General features: G+C 38.7%; 1 protein-coding gene across 1 annotated transcript in view; it reads right to left on the minus strand.

Moving 5' to 3' along the window:
- The window catches only part of FREM3 (FRAS1 related extracellular matrix 3), a 123,374-nt gene that overhangs the window by 26,529 nt on the left and 79,768 nt on the right, over positions 1–17,077 (minus strand). Inside the window, exon 6 of the mRNA NM_001168235.2 lies at positions 7,449–7,697. Within this exon, the coding sequence (NP_001161707.1) occupies positions 7,449–7,697 (249 nt within the window). The remainder of the gene's footprint in view (positions 1–7,448; positions 7,698–17,077) is intronic.

Genomic DNA, 17,077 nt, shown 5'->3' on the forward strand with positions numbered 1-17,077 from the left:
GTAATTCAACAGTGTATAGCCAACCACTAACCAATGTTATTTCTGTAAACCAATGCGAATTCCTGACAAACCACTTTTTGTAATTGCCTTCTGATACAGTTTGGATATTGTTCCTTCCAAATCTCTTATTGAAATGTGATCCCCAGTGTTGGAGGTGAGGCCAGGTGGAAAGTGTTTGGGTCAGGGGGTTGGATCTCTCATGAACATCTTGGTGCCATCCTCAAAGTAATGAGTGAGTTCTTGCTGTATGAGTACCCACATGATCTGATTGTTTAAAGAGCCTGGCACTTCCTCCCCTCTCTGTTGCTTCTCTCTTGCCATGTGATCTGCACATGGCAGCTCCCCTTCCCCTTCTGCCAGGAGTGGACCTTCTTGAGGCCCTCACCAGAAGCAGATGCTGGCACCATGTTTCCTATACAGCCCACAGAACCATGGCCCAAATAAATCTTTTTTCTTTATAAATTACCTAGCCTCAGGACTCTTTTATAGCAACGCAAAAGGACTAAGACACTCCATCTCCTGATTTGTTCCTTTTTCTCTAAAAACTTAAACCTCTTCTTCACTCTCTGGAGCACTCTCCAAGGCAACCTGGAGGTTGTCCCAGGCTGCAGTCCTCAACCTTGGCTCAGATAAACTCTATATTAATTTTGCCTCAGCTTCTTCCTTTTAGGTGAACATATTCAGGATACTAATAAAATACTTAAAAGTTATATTTTTTTCATTAATTATTAATATCTTAAGTGATAAAAATAAGGGCAGATCTCAAATCTCAGGGGTGCTGAGAATTCAAGAGCACAATCAAAACACTTAGGAAGCTCCTGAAAGGTAACTAGAAGCCAAAACTTGGGAACTTGCCTCCTTATTAAATTAAATAATATTTTAGTGTGACTTCATGAACAAATCACACAGATGACCATGTATGTGGATTCTAGCATTACATTTTAAGCTTAGCAATGTGCTTGATCCTCAATAAATGTTACAGAATCTGAATGCAAGTTCCCACAATCCAGTAATTATAAATAATGACTTGCTCAGATAAGTATGTAGCAATTCAGATTGTTGATTGTTTACACTGAACTATGAATCTTCCATCATTATTTCTGTGCATAATTTTTTTCCTCCATTAAAAAGGCTTAATTCATTCAAGGATAATCTAATTAAAGATCAAATTGGGTAGGATAGAAGGCAAGGGTAGACTTTGTAGTCCTGTACTAAGCAAGTGGCAGGTCACTGTGAATGTCTCTTGAATGAATTATCTACCTGTTAAGAGTCTACTAAGACCATTTCAAACAACACTGTAAATTAACAATTGGGTCATGTACTGGATTTTGTGTAATTTTCTTCCTTTCTTTGTATTTTTCCTTCCTTTTTATATTTAATATTGGAAATTTTCTCAAGTTCTCTTATGAACATTAGAGGATTTAAAACTACCAAGTTTTAAGTAAAAATTAAGTAGGAATATGGCACGGCTCAAGGGTATACTATTTCTTCAAGAAATAGATATTAAGGCTTTTACTTGTTTTTACGTACTCCTTCCTGTATAAATAACTACTCTTACAGTTAAGTACAATTTAGCTCATCTTACTAACTTTATTGTTCACCTGATGGCTTTGTTGTTCATACAATGCTGTGGCACTAACAAAATTCAAGTGCTTTGGTTTCATTTTTGGAATTTACTTAGTGTTATTCTATTGTTTCAGTGGCCACTATGATTCGCAGATGTAATTTTATTATTTGAAATATAAACAACAGAGTCAAAGAGGGAGAAAAATGTAGCCAAAGTGGTTTGCCAGGATATGCACTGGATTAATTAAGAAAGTGGTGATTATAAAGAAAGCCATTTACATTCCTTATTCTCTTCCTCCCTCTGACTTTCATGTGCAGCCAATAAAGACACTATCAATTCAATTTCCTACCACTTAACTCCAAATACTGAGAGGCAAAAAATTTACTACTTTATAAGTGAGCAAAAAGTCTCCTTTTATTATCTTATAATCTTTATTTACTTACTACTTCGTAAACAAAGTGGTAATTTAATGCCATTTCTATTTTTCTGAAAAGTCAAGCGTACCCAGATGTTTTCTTGGGTAGGTTACTTATATTGGCTCATGGTTCTTTTTTCCCTTGTGGCCATTGTTCATTTCTACACAGACATCTGCTCAGCCTATGAGATGACTGGCAAAATGTGCCAGCCCCTTTTATTTCAGTTTTTTGTTCACTTATTAAGTAGCATGCTGTTTGCATCTCTTTCTTCAAAATTTTTACTGATAAACAATTGGATTCTTTGTTCAGTTGTTTGCATACAGTCAGCAGGTCTCCACATAGAATGAGACGATGCTACAGAGCCCACAGTATTTAAACAGGATCAAGGTGCATTACAAAATCCTGTTGTTCACCTGTGTGGAGAGAGCCAACATCAAAGGGCTGGCATCTGCTCCAAATTATCTACTTTTTGGCTATGTGCATATGAAAACATGTTCTTCAAGGGGTTTGCTTGCTAAATGGTACCTGTGAGATTACTATATTATGGAATATAGTAACTTTTTTTTTTTTTGCAAACACTTGAAGAAAGCTGCAACCCTTTTAAACTAACAATGGGGTTAAACTTTGGTGACTGGTGATTTCCTGTGGGTTTTGAACATGAAGGTAGCTTTTCGTTATAGGAAACACTAGATGGCCACCAGTATCACTGCAATTAGTAACTTTAAAAGGAAGAAAATATTTATCTATGGAAGATTTGGTTATTTCTTAGGGGTAAATGCATCCTAGAACCATATCACTGAAGGATGTAGTAGAGTACGAAAGAGTTACAGACTCAGAGGCAGAAATCTGGGCTTTAACTGACTGGGCAAACTGGACAAACCACTTAGTACATTTAGCTTCAACAACGAGGAGGCTGAACCACATGATCTCTAGTTCCCATTTTATTTCTAAGATTTCATGCTTCTATGAATCTAGAAGGATTTTTTTTTATGTATTTCTTGTCCTTAGCAAGACTTACATACAAACAACTTAGGTAATACTATATTGCATATTCTCTTCTTAAAAGTATTCCAAAAAATATCTCTCTGCAGTATATTTTGATAGCTAGAACTTTACCAGAAAAATTTTCTTAAGTTCGAACCTGAGTTGCAATGGCTGAAAGTTATTATTAATATCCTTTATTTAGTCTCTAGGAAAACTCCAGAATAGTGTTCTCCCCTTGATTATATAATGGTTATATTCTTCACTGCTGTATCCTCTATGCTTAGCAGAGTTCCTGACACATGGTAGGGGCTCAACAAATGCTTTTGGAACTAATACATTAATAAATGAGTAGTTCTTCATAAATGTAAAGCATGAGGCTAATTCGCAATCCCATTGAATAAAAGAATTGGCCTATGTCATTCCTGCACAGTCTTGAATCACATTCTGGATATCTCCTCATTTATGACTTTGCTCAAGCTGTTTCCTCCAGCTGAAATGCTACTGTCCTTCCTTTCTCTATCCTCAAGTTCCACCTACCCATCCAGACACAGCACAAATGGTACTTTTTAATAGTACTTTTTTTCTTGAGCTCCTCCAGTTAGAAGGAATCTCTGCCTTTTCTTGATTCCCTTTGTCCTTCATCTGAGCCTTTCTTGCCTTAATCACTTTTTACCTTGCTCTGTAGTTGGTTCACAGTGTTACTAGAAGAGGAATTGAAGATTTAGGAAAAGGGCATGCAGTCAGAAGGGGGAACTCAATGATTAAGAGTTAGGTTGAGAATCCTTGACTTACACTCAAATGTTCAATACTCTTGTAGGATTATGAGTGTAGCAGAGAAGGCTGTATTTTCTTAAAGACAAGAAGAGATCATCTTTTCATTTCATTTCCACACCAGTCACTAAATTTTCTAATTATAAATTGGTTTCTTATATAGACGTTTCCTCCAGAAACAATACTGATGGTATTAGTTTCCTTTTGTTGCTGTAATAAATTACCACAAATTTAGTGGCTTAAAACAACATAAATTTATTCCATTACAGTTCTACAAGTCAGAAGTCTAACTAAAATAAAGGGTGTTGCCAGGGCTGTGTTCTAACTGGAGGCTTCAGGAGGAAATCCATCTCCTTGCCTTTTCTAGCTTCTAAAGGCTGCCTGCATTCCTCGGCTTGTGGCCCTTTCCTCCAGCTTCAAAGTGCATCACTCCAACCTCTGGTTTCAGTCATCAGCTCCCCTTTTTCTCTGTGATCCTCTTGCATCTCTCTTATAGGGACCCTGCTGATTATTCTGGGCCCACTTAGGTAACTCAGGATAATCGCACCATCTCAACAGCCTTAACTTAATCAGACCTGAAAAGTCCGTTTTGCCATGTAAAGTAACACATTCACAATTTTGGTGGTTAGAATGTGGATATCTTTGGGGTCCATTATTCAGCCTACGTTAATGACCAAAGGACTTGAATGTCTGCTTTTTTGACAGCCATTTGCTTGTTATTATACATACAAACACTAATATTTTGGTTAAGAAGCTGTCTCATTCTTTTGTAAGGTGGTCCCCAGAGTCACCTCAGTTCTGAGCATACCAACAAAGTCATATAATGGCACCTGAATCCCATTAAATTGCTTGTTTAGATCTAATATCTGTTGGGTGCTTTATGCCTGTCTCTAGCTTTTGTAGTTTTCAGGTAAGCTCTGGTGTTTGAGCCTATTCTAATTGTTAGGTAAAGAGCTTGCAGAAAACATACATCTTATTGAGGAAGAAGAGATAGAATAATTGAAGGTCAGACAACTTCATTCTTCATGTTTGCTTAAAAATTTCAGGATAGTTTTAAAAGAAATTTCCTTCTAATTATCTGGGTAAAATTATATAATGCACTTGCTTATCAAAATGTAACTCAGTATGTGCTCAAAAAATGTTAGAGCATGTCCAGGGTATAGACATATCACTCCAGTTATATGTCTTCTGGCACTTATGTTGGAAAGAATAGCATGAGTCAAACAGGGTTAGGCCTTGGAAAAATAAAAGACAAAATAGATAGCTTAAAACACAAGACCATTCAAGTTCTTGCTTCACTAATTAACTCTCTTTTTTACCTGGCTTGTTTAGAGCAAAACTTTGACATATATTTTTCTAAGTTCATGACAAAATTTTAATGGAAAAACTCAGCCTACAGGATGCATCATTTTTGTGTATGGGTGGTGTTTATTAACTAATGCCTTTTTCTTAGAATGACTTAAGAATCATAGAATTATGGAGGGAAAGGGTTCCTAGAGACAACCCAATCAATCTCCTTATTTCAAGATTGGGAAACAGAGCCACAGATAGCTTGACCTAGCCAAGGTTACCCAGAGAGAGTGTGTCTCAGGCTTAGAATCCAAGTCTCCAGACCCCCAGCACAAGCTTTGCTGACTCTGTTGTTCCACTTTTGATTCTCTTCCTTTTCTCTCCCATTTCTTTCGTTGTGTACCTAGACCTATTACTAGCTCCAGTAGAGAAGAATAACGAAGACTGTTCTGACGCCAATCTTTCTGGCTATAAGAAAAGGTGTGGTAGTGAAGGGAAAAGGAATTTGAAGCTATGTGTTTACAAATTTCAACTTTTCATATTAATTCTTCATTATCATGGAAAAGTAAGCATTGATTATAAAAAGAAGGATATACTGTGAAGTGGACTATGTAGAAAATGTAAAAAAAAAGTCTCCACTTCCGTAACTTTCCCTTTCTCCCTTCTCACTCTGCCTGGTTAACACCTTCTTGGTCTGTAGCACTCGGTGTGGGTAAATCTTTCCTAACCTCTTGGTAAGAGATAGTTGCTTCAATATCCTAATCATAGCCCTGTAATTAAAAAAAAATTCTAATATTTCAAGCAGGCTTCAAAAACCACATAATGCCATGTCATCATTTTTTTGTCTTTCAGAGTGTCCTCATTTCTCAATTTGCTCTTCATATTAATCAACTAGACTTGACCACGTAGGGATTTTTCAGATGTCTCAACCAGACAAATTTACTCAGATTCTACTTCTCTTCTGTTGGGAAAACAGCAGATACTTTTTATAAGATAACGTGAGTAGTGTTTCTCTTTCCAAAACAACTTCTTTCGAATGAAACTGGAAAATCAAGGCTAATTTTCCTGTTGGACACTTCCTCCTATCTCTTTGGTTTAACAGAAAATATATACAATTATACATTTCCATAAAGGAATATATTGAAAATTTACTCAAATTATTTTAAGAAAAACAATCTTTGTTTTAATTCCAATGAAGAAATTTTTGAAAAGAAAAGTACATGACGAAGAAAGCATGGATCTCAGGGCCTGTCCTTATTCTTAGCTCTTGATACTTGTAAAGATGTGTTTTGGAATTAGTCCTAGAAAATTCTTTTTTATTTTTAATGGAGCAAAAGTAGTCTACTGAAAATTTCAGAGATCTGGTCCACAGGGTGAAATATTCCCAAGTAAAGCCATTTAGGAGATTAAACAACAAACAGAAGACCGCCTTTAATCTCACTCATATTTTCTCTTGTTCTATGGTTGTTATGAAGACATAATTTTAAACAGAACATGATAGTACACGATAAATTTACCATACCTACCTGGAGAGTATAAACTGTTCAGACTTTACAAATCTGTGTTTATCTCTTGGCACAGCTCTCAGTTTAATGTAAGCTTTGTGGTGCATCCATAAAGCAGTCACATTAATTTTGGGTCCTTAATAACAGCCCAGTCTAACCCTTCTTAGGTCTGAGCTTAGCAACTCACAGCCACTCAAATCCTGACAGAAGCATGGTTGAGAGATGAAGCAGTCACACTAATTTGAGAGTAGTAATAAAACAGTCTGATCCTGGCCCTGTCTTTATTACCATTTTCTGTTAAAAGTGCTCCTTATAGAAGGGCAGGTGAGACCTAGGAAAGTCATACTGGGCTTGATACTTTGTGTCGTGTCTGGGAGGGGAGTTGGTGTTTAGGAATGAGGCGCCCCTCTCTTCTCTGGCTAAATTTCAGCTGGGCTCCCCAGGGACTGGAGGCAAACGCCCTGCTAGGTAACCATAAAAAGAGGTCCAGATGCTGACACACTGGGCTCCATCTTATCCTTGTGCTGCTTGACAACTCACACACTAACTGTGAGGGATGATCCTTGTGCTGCTAAGATGAAGGTCCTCTTGGGGGTAGTCCTGGTTGGGTAATTAGATACTTGACTTAGGTCCTCTCCCTGGCTTCCTTCTAAGTCTTAAGTCACCTCCTTGGGCTGTGCTTTTTCTTGTGTCAAGTAAAGTCGTACCCAAATATTTAATCTACTCGCATGGCTGTTTTGTCATTGGTGTTGGTGATGTCTATGCATTTGAAGAGCTACTCACAGTTTTTGGAGATAAAAGAACATCAAATATTCTTTTAAAAGATAATTTAAGCTACATTTGCCTTTCAACTGTTGGAGGAAAGTGTGAGAAGGCAGCTATTGCCAAAGGTTGGAAAGCAACAAATGGACTTACCATCATAACGATCAGCCAGAATAGTCACCTTAGTGGTGGGGAATCTGGCTCCCAGCTGTCCTCCCACTGGCAGCCTAAGTGAAACGCTGAAGGATTCCTCCTCTTCATAAAGGGAGTCATCAATGATCAGGACCTGGCAGGTCTTCTGTGTCTCATTCTTGTCAAAGTGGAGGATGCTGGTGTGGTCTTCTGGACGTGAGATGTAATCAGAGAATAACACTGTGGAAGAAATCGTGCCTGTGGCAGAACCTACAGAAATATGAGAAGGAACAGGGAGGTTAAGAAGAAATGGAATTCCAAACAAGAAGCCTGTCTGTTTTCTTTAATGTATTTTTAGATAATAGCTATCTGAATGATACAACACACTTACCTCTTATGCTCACAAATAGTAATACTGTAAGAAGAAGGCTTTTGGAATAGACTCTGGTATTTTGACATGATCTAGATTTAGTGATTTTTAAATAGAGTATATTGAATAAGGTTTGTTTATATTAGGGGCTAAATAAACAAGATCACAGGATGCTAGGGCTGGCTTAGCTCAATTATTTCATATTACAGATGAGAAAACTGAGGTGTAGTAAAATTAGGACTAGAGAATCCACAGCATGAAAATAGTATCGATTTTTTTCCTGCTACTGCTCTACCCACAGTGGCATAGCTGTGAGCAGCATCTATGTAATCTGATCATCACACACCCCAACTAGAGTTCTTTGTATGACACCATAATATAGCCAGAAAATTATATCTTATTTTACAAGGAGTGCAGGATTGATTAGAGGATTTCGGTTTAGATTCAGTGTGTTTTAAATGTTATTTTAATAGTTTACTTACATTAAGATTCACCAATGTAAATGCACAGTTTGAAGAGTTTTGACAAATGCATATAATCATGTGACCACCACCACAATCATAAAACGTTTTTATCCATCCACAAAAGTTGACCTGTGTTTCTTGCAATCCATCTCCTTCCCTGTCTCCCAGGCCTTGGAAATCACAAATCTGCTTTGCATCATTATAGATTTATTTGCCTTTATGAGAAATTTCATACAAATGAAGCATATGTTTTGATTCTTTCATTTAGCACAATGCTTTTGAGATTCATCCATGTACCATGATATGTTTTCCCTTTTATTGCTGACTATTGTTTCCCATTGTGTGGCTATACCACAGTTTGTTTATCTATTTACTGGCTGATAATTTGGGTTATTTCTAGTTCTTGGCAATTGTGAGTAATGCTTCTATGAATATTCAAGTACGAGTCTTTGAGTGGGTATGTATAGGTTGTTGCAAAAGCAATTGCGGTTTTCCCATTACTTTTAATAGCAATAACCACAATTACTTTTGCACCAACCCAATAATTTTTTTTCTAGAATAAATACTTAAGAGTAGGATTGCTAGGTTCTGATGCATTTTTGCAGTTTTAAAACAGCAACACATAGGTTTAGGGCTAAAAGACTGAACAGTATTCATTGTAATTTAAATGATTTAGGCAGACCAGATTTAGGCAGAACAAAGACTATGAAATAATAACCTATTATACCAGATAAGAAGTTTTTGAAAAGTATAAATATTTCCCACCATACCTCACTTTAATAAGAAGCAATGAGGAGATGACAGTGAGATTCTGGACTGGATGCTCCAGTCTTGTAAGAGTCTTTCTTGCTTACAGCTATGGTAAATGCACATATGCAAGATGACACCAATGCCCACTGTCATCTAAACATCCGTACAAGTTGGTGTCCATCACTGCATGTTGCTTGTATAGATCTAAGTTGCTAAAAAATGATAGTGGGCTCCAACCGACTTCAGATGTTTTGCTCGGAAGGGCACTGACTCACAAAGTGTTTCAGAATGGTTTTTTTGAAAGAACAAAAATTTTAGAATTATTCGGAAGTAACAAATTGACTGTTTCGTTATCCTGGAATCATAAAAATTGTTAGAGCTGGAGAGTTGATGAGAACAAAATGTGTTTGCTAGGGCAGAGGGCAGAAACTGATCAAAATGGACAGGCACAAGGGGAACTATCACTTGGTGGGGAAGCTAGCTGAGTTTCAGTGGCGGTCTATGCTTTGAAACCTTATTATCTCATGAGATTCCTTCTCTGGGGAAACCTATGCATGAAAAAGGTCTCCACACTCAAGTCAACCAGGATAGGCTGGCTCTTGGGATGTGAGACATAGTGCTATCACTGAATGCCTAAGACAGGCACTCTCCAGTTAAATGGGGAAAGAGGTAAGTGGTTAGCAATATAGAAAGGCTCTCAAGATGAGATGAAACACTGTCAGGGAGACTTTCTGTGTTCCTGGCACACAGACAAAGGAAAAAAGGTCTTAAGCTCTTACAACAATCTGATTAAATAGCATACAACTTTTGGAATGTCTTTTTAAAGAGCCAGATGTTTAAACAGAACTATACCTTTGGAGAACACAGTTCTCAATTTTGCCTAGCCATCAAGTGTGCATTATGTTGGTATGACAGGCTATATGACAAAGAACCTTGTCAGAAACTGCATGTTAACTCCTCAGGACGAATGCCAAAAGCAGATACTGTAGACACTAGGCTCGCATAGTAACTAACACTATCTTCACTAAATATAACTATCTGTATTAAACCTCTTTCTCAATATATGTCACCTAATGAATATTCAAATAATGATTTATTTGTAGTTCATGAAACAAAAGCAATTGAGATTTTTTCTTTTTCTGTTTAATTTTTTTTTATATTTGACCAATCCACTGGTTGACATAGATATGACATTCAAGTAGGTTGATTTCTGGGTTAAATGAAAGACTGAAATATAATACTTCTTGAAAATCATTTGGCGATTGAACTCTGCTAAAGCAGAAATCAAGACAATATGTTTTAGCAAGATTTTTAAACAAGAGTTGGTGAAAAAAGTTGTCTAAGTAAATTGTATTTAATAAAAAAATTCAGTTGATCTAAATGGAACATTCCTTTTAGGATTCTAGAAAATTTACTTTGGGCAACTCTTTGAGCAGTTATATTCAATAGTTAAGAATGTGAATACTGACATTCATTTAAGTAAAAAACAAACAATATTTTATCTGCAACAAGTTAAGAATCCTCAGGACTTGGAAAAATTCTGTTCTGAAAACATCAAATATATTCTGAGATAAAAGATAAGGTCCCTGGCGATTGTCTGTACATATCCCGTATTTTACAGTGAAGAGGCTTCAAGGAGTATAAATTTATGATTTCCAGGCTGGTATCAAAGACACTTATTGGGTCTCAAGCCTTGTTTGGGTGGCTTGACCAGTGGTAGAGCATAGCATCTTTGTGAGAAATATTAAAGATTCATTGTTTGCAGAGGTAGATTATGAGGCATGATGAATGACAGTTTTAATGGGTATGGGTTTAGTTCTCCAAAATTAAGGGTTAGAACCAAAGATTCATTTCATGTTAACCTAGGAGTTCCCTCCCTTAGCATGGTGATGTGCTCTCCAAACAAGGCACGCGAAAGCTGATTTGCAAACTTTGCTGATTTTTGTTGTATTAATATTCCCATCATAGCCAACTTCAACTATCAATGTGAAGTCACTGAGCATAGAGTAGGGAAGAGGTGCACAGAATCAGCTTTCAGGAGCAGTTACTAGCTGGATCCAGCATACCACTCTATCCATGATGATGATGGCATCGATTGCCCCTGTCCAGGCCTCCCTCACCTCACTGGCAGCCTGAGAATTTGTGAAGTTACTTTAAAAATTAATAACTTATTTACAAAAGAGTATTTATGGCTCAGTCTCTGTGGCTACATATTACATTTGCTTTACAAAAATCATAAATGTTAAAATCAGAGAGAAAGTCCTATTAAGGAACTACACTAAAGGGTAATTAAATCATTATATTATGTTGTTTGGTTACTTTATGAGGTGGCCAGGGCGTTTTATCAATGAGAAAATTGAGGCAGAGAATGCCCCATGATATCCAAGGAGTCAAAGACCCATCTCCTGATAGTCAGCCTGGGGCACTTTTTACTTTCTCACATTGTCTTTAGTTGTTTGTTTAGTTGATTATAAATTCTTTTAAACACACAATTTTCTTTTAATATGTACATTTTAGTAGGACAGCAAGACAAGCAATCACCCTCTTTAAAGTGCAGCAGCTAACACCTCATTGGAGCAGGAGGCTTTTGGACCCCAGGCACAAGTCACCTCATGCCCCAGGAGGGCTGATGATTGAAGGGTGGTGGGAGAACCAGAGGAGAGAGGAGGAGGGTAGCAAAGGCTCGGCTGGAGCAGCATGGGAGCGTCTATCTAGAGGGGACTTTGGTACTTTTGTTTCCAGCAGATTGGCCAGTCAGGTACTCTGGGATGCCCGTACAGTAAAAAACAACTAGAAAAAATAATGATTCTGGCTTTTCTGTTCTCATAGGGAATATCGTCAAGTGTAGGGAATATCGTCAAGTGTCAAAAAAAAAACAAAAACCCAAAAACCCACAAACAAAACAAAATTGAAATTAAAAATAACTAAAACAAACCATAAAAACCCTCCCCCAACCTGAAATCCCATAACCCATAGAAGGGATTCCCATTCAGAAGGTGGTATCCCCCCAAGAGCAGGTGCACTATCACCATTGCAGGTGGAGACAGGCCTTGGGCAAGGGCACCTCACAGAGCTGACTTGGAAGCTATGGTTATGCCTGAGGATACAGGGCAGCAGGAGTGTGTCTGGATCAGTAGTACCCTCTGAATCCTGGAGTAAGCAAAGCAAACCTTTCTTGGAGGAAAACATTTTCAAGTGAAGCCCTCAGATCTTTCACAGATTCAGATCAAATACATGTAAGATTTTAGATGCATAGAAAAAACATCTCTACAAAGACAACTTTTAGATGAAAAACAAAGTGCTTAACAATGGAAGCCAGAATATGTTGGAATAATAACTTTAAAATGCTAGGAGAGAATTACTACCAACCTAGAATTTCAAGACTGGAGTTGAAATAAAGACATGTTCTGATAAACAGAAAATGGTGAGAGTTTACGCCCAGAAAACCTTCAGTAAGGGGACTTTTAAACCATATGATTTGTACTTCAGGAACAGAAAACTATAATCCCCCCAAACCGTCTGAGATGCAAAGTTTAACTTCTATAACCTATGAACACATCTACAACTAAATAAATCAACACAGAGAATCTTTTTTAAAAGGAAAGAAAAAAGAAAGTCTTTCACCTGGACATGCTTGGAACCCTTTAAGAATTATCCACTTTTGGCCGGGCGCAGTGGCTCACACCTGTAATCCCAGCACTTTGGGAGGCCGAGGCGGACGGATCACGAGGTCAGGAGATTGAGACCATCCTGGCTAACACTATGAAACCCCGTCTCTACTAAAAAAATACAAAAAAGAAAATTAGCCGGGCGTGGTGGTGGGCACCTGTAGTCCCAGCTACACGGGAGGCTGAGGCCGGAGAATGGCGTGAACCCGGGAGGCGGAGCTTGCAGTGAGCCAAGACGGCGACACTGCACTCCAGCCTGGGCAACAGAGCGAGACTCCGTCTCAAAAAAAAAAAGGAAGAAAGAAAAAAGAATCATCTGTTTTCTACCTCCATCTTAGGGGATGACCCACAGAAAAAATCCAATCGGAGAAGTGGGGCGAGGTCCATGGCTTGTGGTTTACTACGCAGTTCTTTTTAACTGGATAGAGTAGATCATTAAAAACCGCAACGTATTTGACTTGGGCCTGACCAAAAACCACAGGATGATTCAATGCTGTACCTACTCATTTGGTTTTAGGTTCTGTGGTTTGCTATTCATTGGCTGTTCCTCCAATAAGGCAGTTTTTTAACAAGAGAGTGACTAATGAGAAGAAAAAGATGGATGAGATTTTTCTTAAGAATGAAATAATGCCGAGAAATGTCTAATTTCCAAGTCTTTACTTAAAGAATCTTTGCGCTTAAAACATTTCATTATAGAGCAAGAGTTTTCAGTTGGGCTGATTTTACCTGCTAGGGGACACTTGGCAATGTCTGGTGACATTTTTGGGGGTCACAGATGGAGGTGGTAGATGCGTCTAGATGCTAGATACTTGCATCTAGTATATAGAGACCAGGGATGCTGCTTAACATTTTACAAAGCATGGGACAGCCCCCACAATAAACAGTTATTCAAAACATTAATGGTGCCAAGGTTGAGAAGAGGAACAAGAATAAATTCTCCTCTGCCCTGGAAGACAGAGGATTTGGCAGTAAACAGATAATTTAAGATATTTAAAACCAACTACAAGGACAAACCTTTGTAATGCATCTTCAAGATCTTCATGTTTGTTGCGTTTGGCTATATATCCAGAGATAGGCTTATTGCCTATTCTTTAACTAAGATTTCCTCTTGAAAGCACCAGATATAGCCAGCTCCATATAATGTTAGCAACTCTTGGGTTTAAGCTAGTTTTACATTTGGGAAGGAAAAAGTGAAGAGGAGAAAAAACAAGCTAGGTGAGGTACTCCTTGAGGCCTTTCTCCTTAGCTAGCTGATCACTGAAAGGATGTGCCTAATTCTTTCTTCCATTGGTGCACTGGGGCTCTAGTTTGGGTCTTGCAATAATGGGCAAGTATGTGGGAGCTACGGGGTGTGGTTGAGGCTGGACAGACCAGCTATTGTAGAAAGTGTACTCATGCTTTGCTCTGGGCTTCAAGCTGGGCTTCTTCTGGTATTAGTGACACATTCTCTGTCTACAACCAAAGTGTCCAGCAGACAATGGTGCTAAAGTCTCTTAGATGTGAATGAAAGAGATGAGATGGTAAACAGCCCAGTTGAATAGATCATATGTAATTGCTACGCTAGAAAAATTCACCGAGTGTCTGTCTGTTCATCCCTTGGAAAGAGCTATGCTGCAGAAGGACCATCCAAATGAATAGCGAGGCTCAGTGTCTGGCACGGAGTCAGCTAGGATGGAGGAGTGCTGCTTCCCCAAGTAGGAGGGCTACACCTAACTTTAGCTTCTCATAAGATTCCCTTATGTAATCCAACTTCCCACATGATTTCCAGATGTGAAAGCTGGCATGCCTGGAAAACTCCCTGCATAGCTGGTGCACAACTCAGACTGCTTGACACCTGAGCCTTGACCCCGAGATCCCCACATAAGAAGGTATTTTCATGTTTGTGGTTAAAAAAAAGAAAAAGAAAAAGAAAAAATAGGATACAACAGGGTCGGGGCCCTTCCTGGAACACTAAGCCACTGTATGCAAGGTAGCATCTTGACTCTTGCATATCTCTTGGTGGAACTGAAACTGAGGGCTAAGCTGATTAAGTTTGCCAAACTTAACCTGCCTTGCTTGCTTTTAACAGCTTACTTATGGCTTATGGTAAAACTCCCATTAGCAGCCAAGTATGGTGGCACACACCTGTAGTCCCAGCACCTTGGGAAGCCAAGTCAGGAGAATCACTTGAAGTCAGGAGTTCGAGACCAGCCTGGGCAACATAGTGAGAACTTCGTCTCTACAAAAAATTTTAAAAATTATCCATGCATACAGGTTGGTGCCTGTAGTCCCAGCTACTCCAGAGGCTGAGGTGGAAAGATGGCTTGAGCCCAGGAGTTTGATCCTGCAGTGAGCTGTGATGGAGTCACTGCACTCCAGCCTGGGTGATAGAGTGAAACCCTGTCTCAAAATCCTCCCCCAACCTACCAAGAAACCAACAACAAAAAACTCCCACTAGCAAATCACTTAGCCAAACAATGCATAACTAAACTCCCACTAGCTTCCTTATAGATAACATCTCTAACTGTGGGGACTATAATAACATTGCTTAAAGTTGTTTTTCAGGAACTAGGGGGCAGCTCTTGTCCAGTTCAAGCTGTCGAGACCACTGACCTTTAACTGGGCCTGCTTGAGTGCCCAAAGAGTGATCTTTTGATGTCAGAGGGCCAAAAGCTCCAACCTCAGATTATGCTAACACTGCCATTTTGTGCATATGTGTCCTATGAATTACCATGTAGCTTGATTAGTTTTGCACAGAAACCCCAATTACCTCACCTTTCCTACTTGCCAATCACCTTTCCCCATGCTTTAGAAGACCCTGCTTTCTATTTCATAAGTACTCCCAAATTTTGATTCGTTCTCTTGTATCTTTGTATGGCAGCCTTGTGAAGGAAATTTTTTCTCTTTTGCAAAACCTGTCACCACAGTGATTGTCTTGCTGTGCGCAAGCAGAATGAACCTGGCCAGTAACAGAATTATAAGTGTGAACGTTGTAAATCTTCTCATACTCATATCGTGTGCCATTGTGGTATTTGTCCTCACCTACTCCCCATGTATAGGATGAAAGTTCAATTCGGTTATTTAAACATCTCTGGAAGTCATGTTAAAGTAAATGTTTAACAATTACTTATTTTCATAAATAAAATGAACATGAGCTACATACACAGTGCAGTGGAAAGCAGACTCATGCTTTGTATGTTACTAATAATTCACAAATACTAAACATGACTACAGGTAAGTGAAGGAGGCAACTAGTTTTATGCTGTGTTTTGCTGGGGACCTCAAGGCCCTACTATTAAAGTTTCCATCTGCCAAGGTACTGCCTGCCCCTACTAAATGATTAGTGCACCATCAGTGTTTACAAACAATGTTGTGGGGGTATTATTTAAAAAAAAAACCAAAACATTGTTTGGGAGAGGAAGAAAAGCTGGAGGAATAAATTCTCCCTTGCTGACATATCAACAAGTAGGAGCACTGATTTTGAGAGACTGAATATACAGATGGAAAATGGCCATACCATACATAAAAAGAGAACTCTGACCCACAATCTGCAGCAATTAGTCCAGGAAGCCAAGCCACCACCTCTGTAGCAATCAGCAATCAAATGGTCAAGACTTACTAAATAACTGCCAGCTTCCCTAATTTCTGCTCCCACTTCTAATTTAAGACCAACCACAGAGAGCCAAATATGCCCTCATAACCAATCATATAGGATGCCTGCTTCTACTGAGCCAATCTCCAGATTCCCAGGCCAACAGCTTCCAATCAGGACATACCTGATACCTTTCCTTTTTCCACTATAAAGCTTTCTCATGCTTCTGCCTGTTGGGGCGAGTCTCTGCCACATGAAAGTGATGGTGGCTGACATACTACAGCGAGCTCTAAATAGCCTTTTCTTGTTGTCATTTGGGTGGGCTTCATTTGTTTCCGTAATTTTCGTTTTCTGCATAGTTGCTAATAAGATGTTAGAGAATATGATCCTGAGGGGATGAGACATGAGACAGCTAAATCTGGCTGTATAGAAGTGGTCAAAAAGAATGGAAACTTGTTTTCGGTGCGAAGATGCCTGAACTCATGGTTGGGGGGCATCTGTGGTTGTGAGATGGGGAGAGAGGAGGAGAAGAGAAACTGAGTAGTATATACAGACTATTTTACAATATTGCCCAGAGGCAATGCTGACTATTAAAAATACGAATCTTTAATTTATAAATTTTTGACTAGCATATATAAACTCTTTTGACACAAGATGTCTCATTTGACTTTCACAAATGTCTCATTTGACTAGCCCCTTCGTGGGGTAGTTAAAATAGATATTTTAATCCCAATTTTGAATAAAGCGTTATCCCTGGTTGAGGAGACCAGCTCAGAGGAGTAGGGCACCTGCACAGAGTCAGGAAAGGGGGTTCGCAGCAGGGCATG

This window comes from Homo sapiens, chromosome 4 (assembly GCF_000001405.40).
Source record: "Homo sapiens chromosome 4, GRCh38.p14 Primary Assembly".
Taxonomy (NCBI): domain Eukaryota; kingdom Metazoa; phylum Chordata; class Mammalia; order Primates; family Hominidae; genus Homo; species Homo sapiens.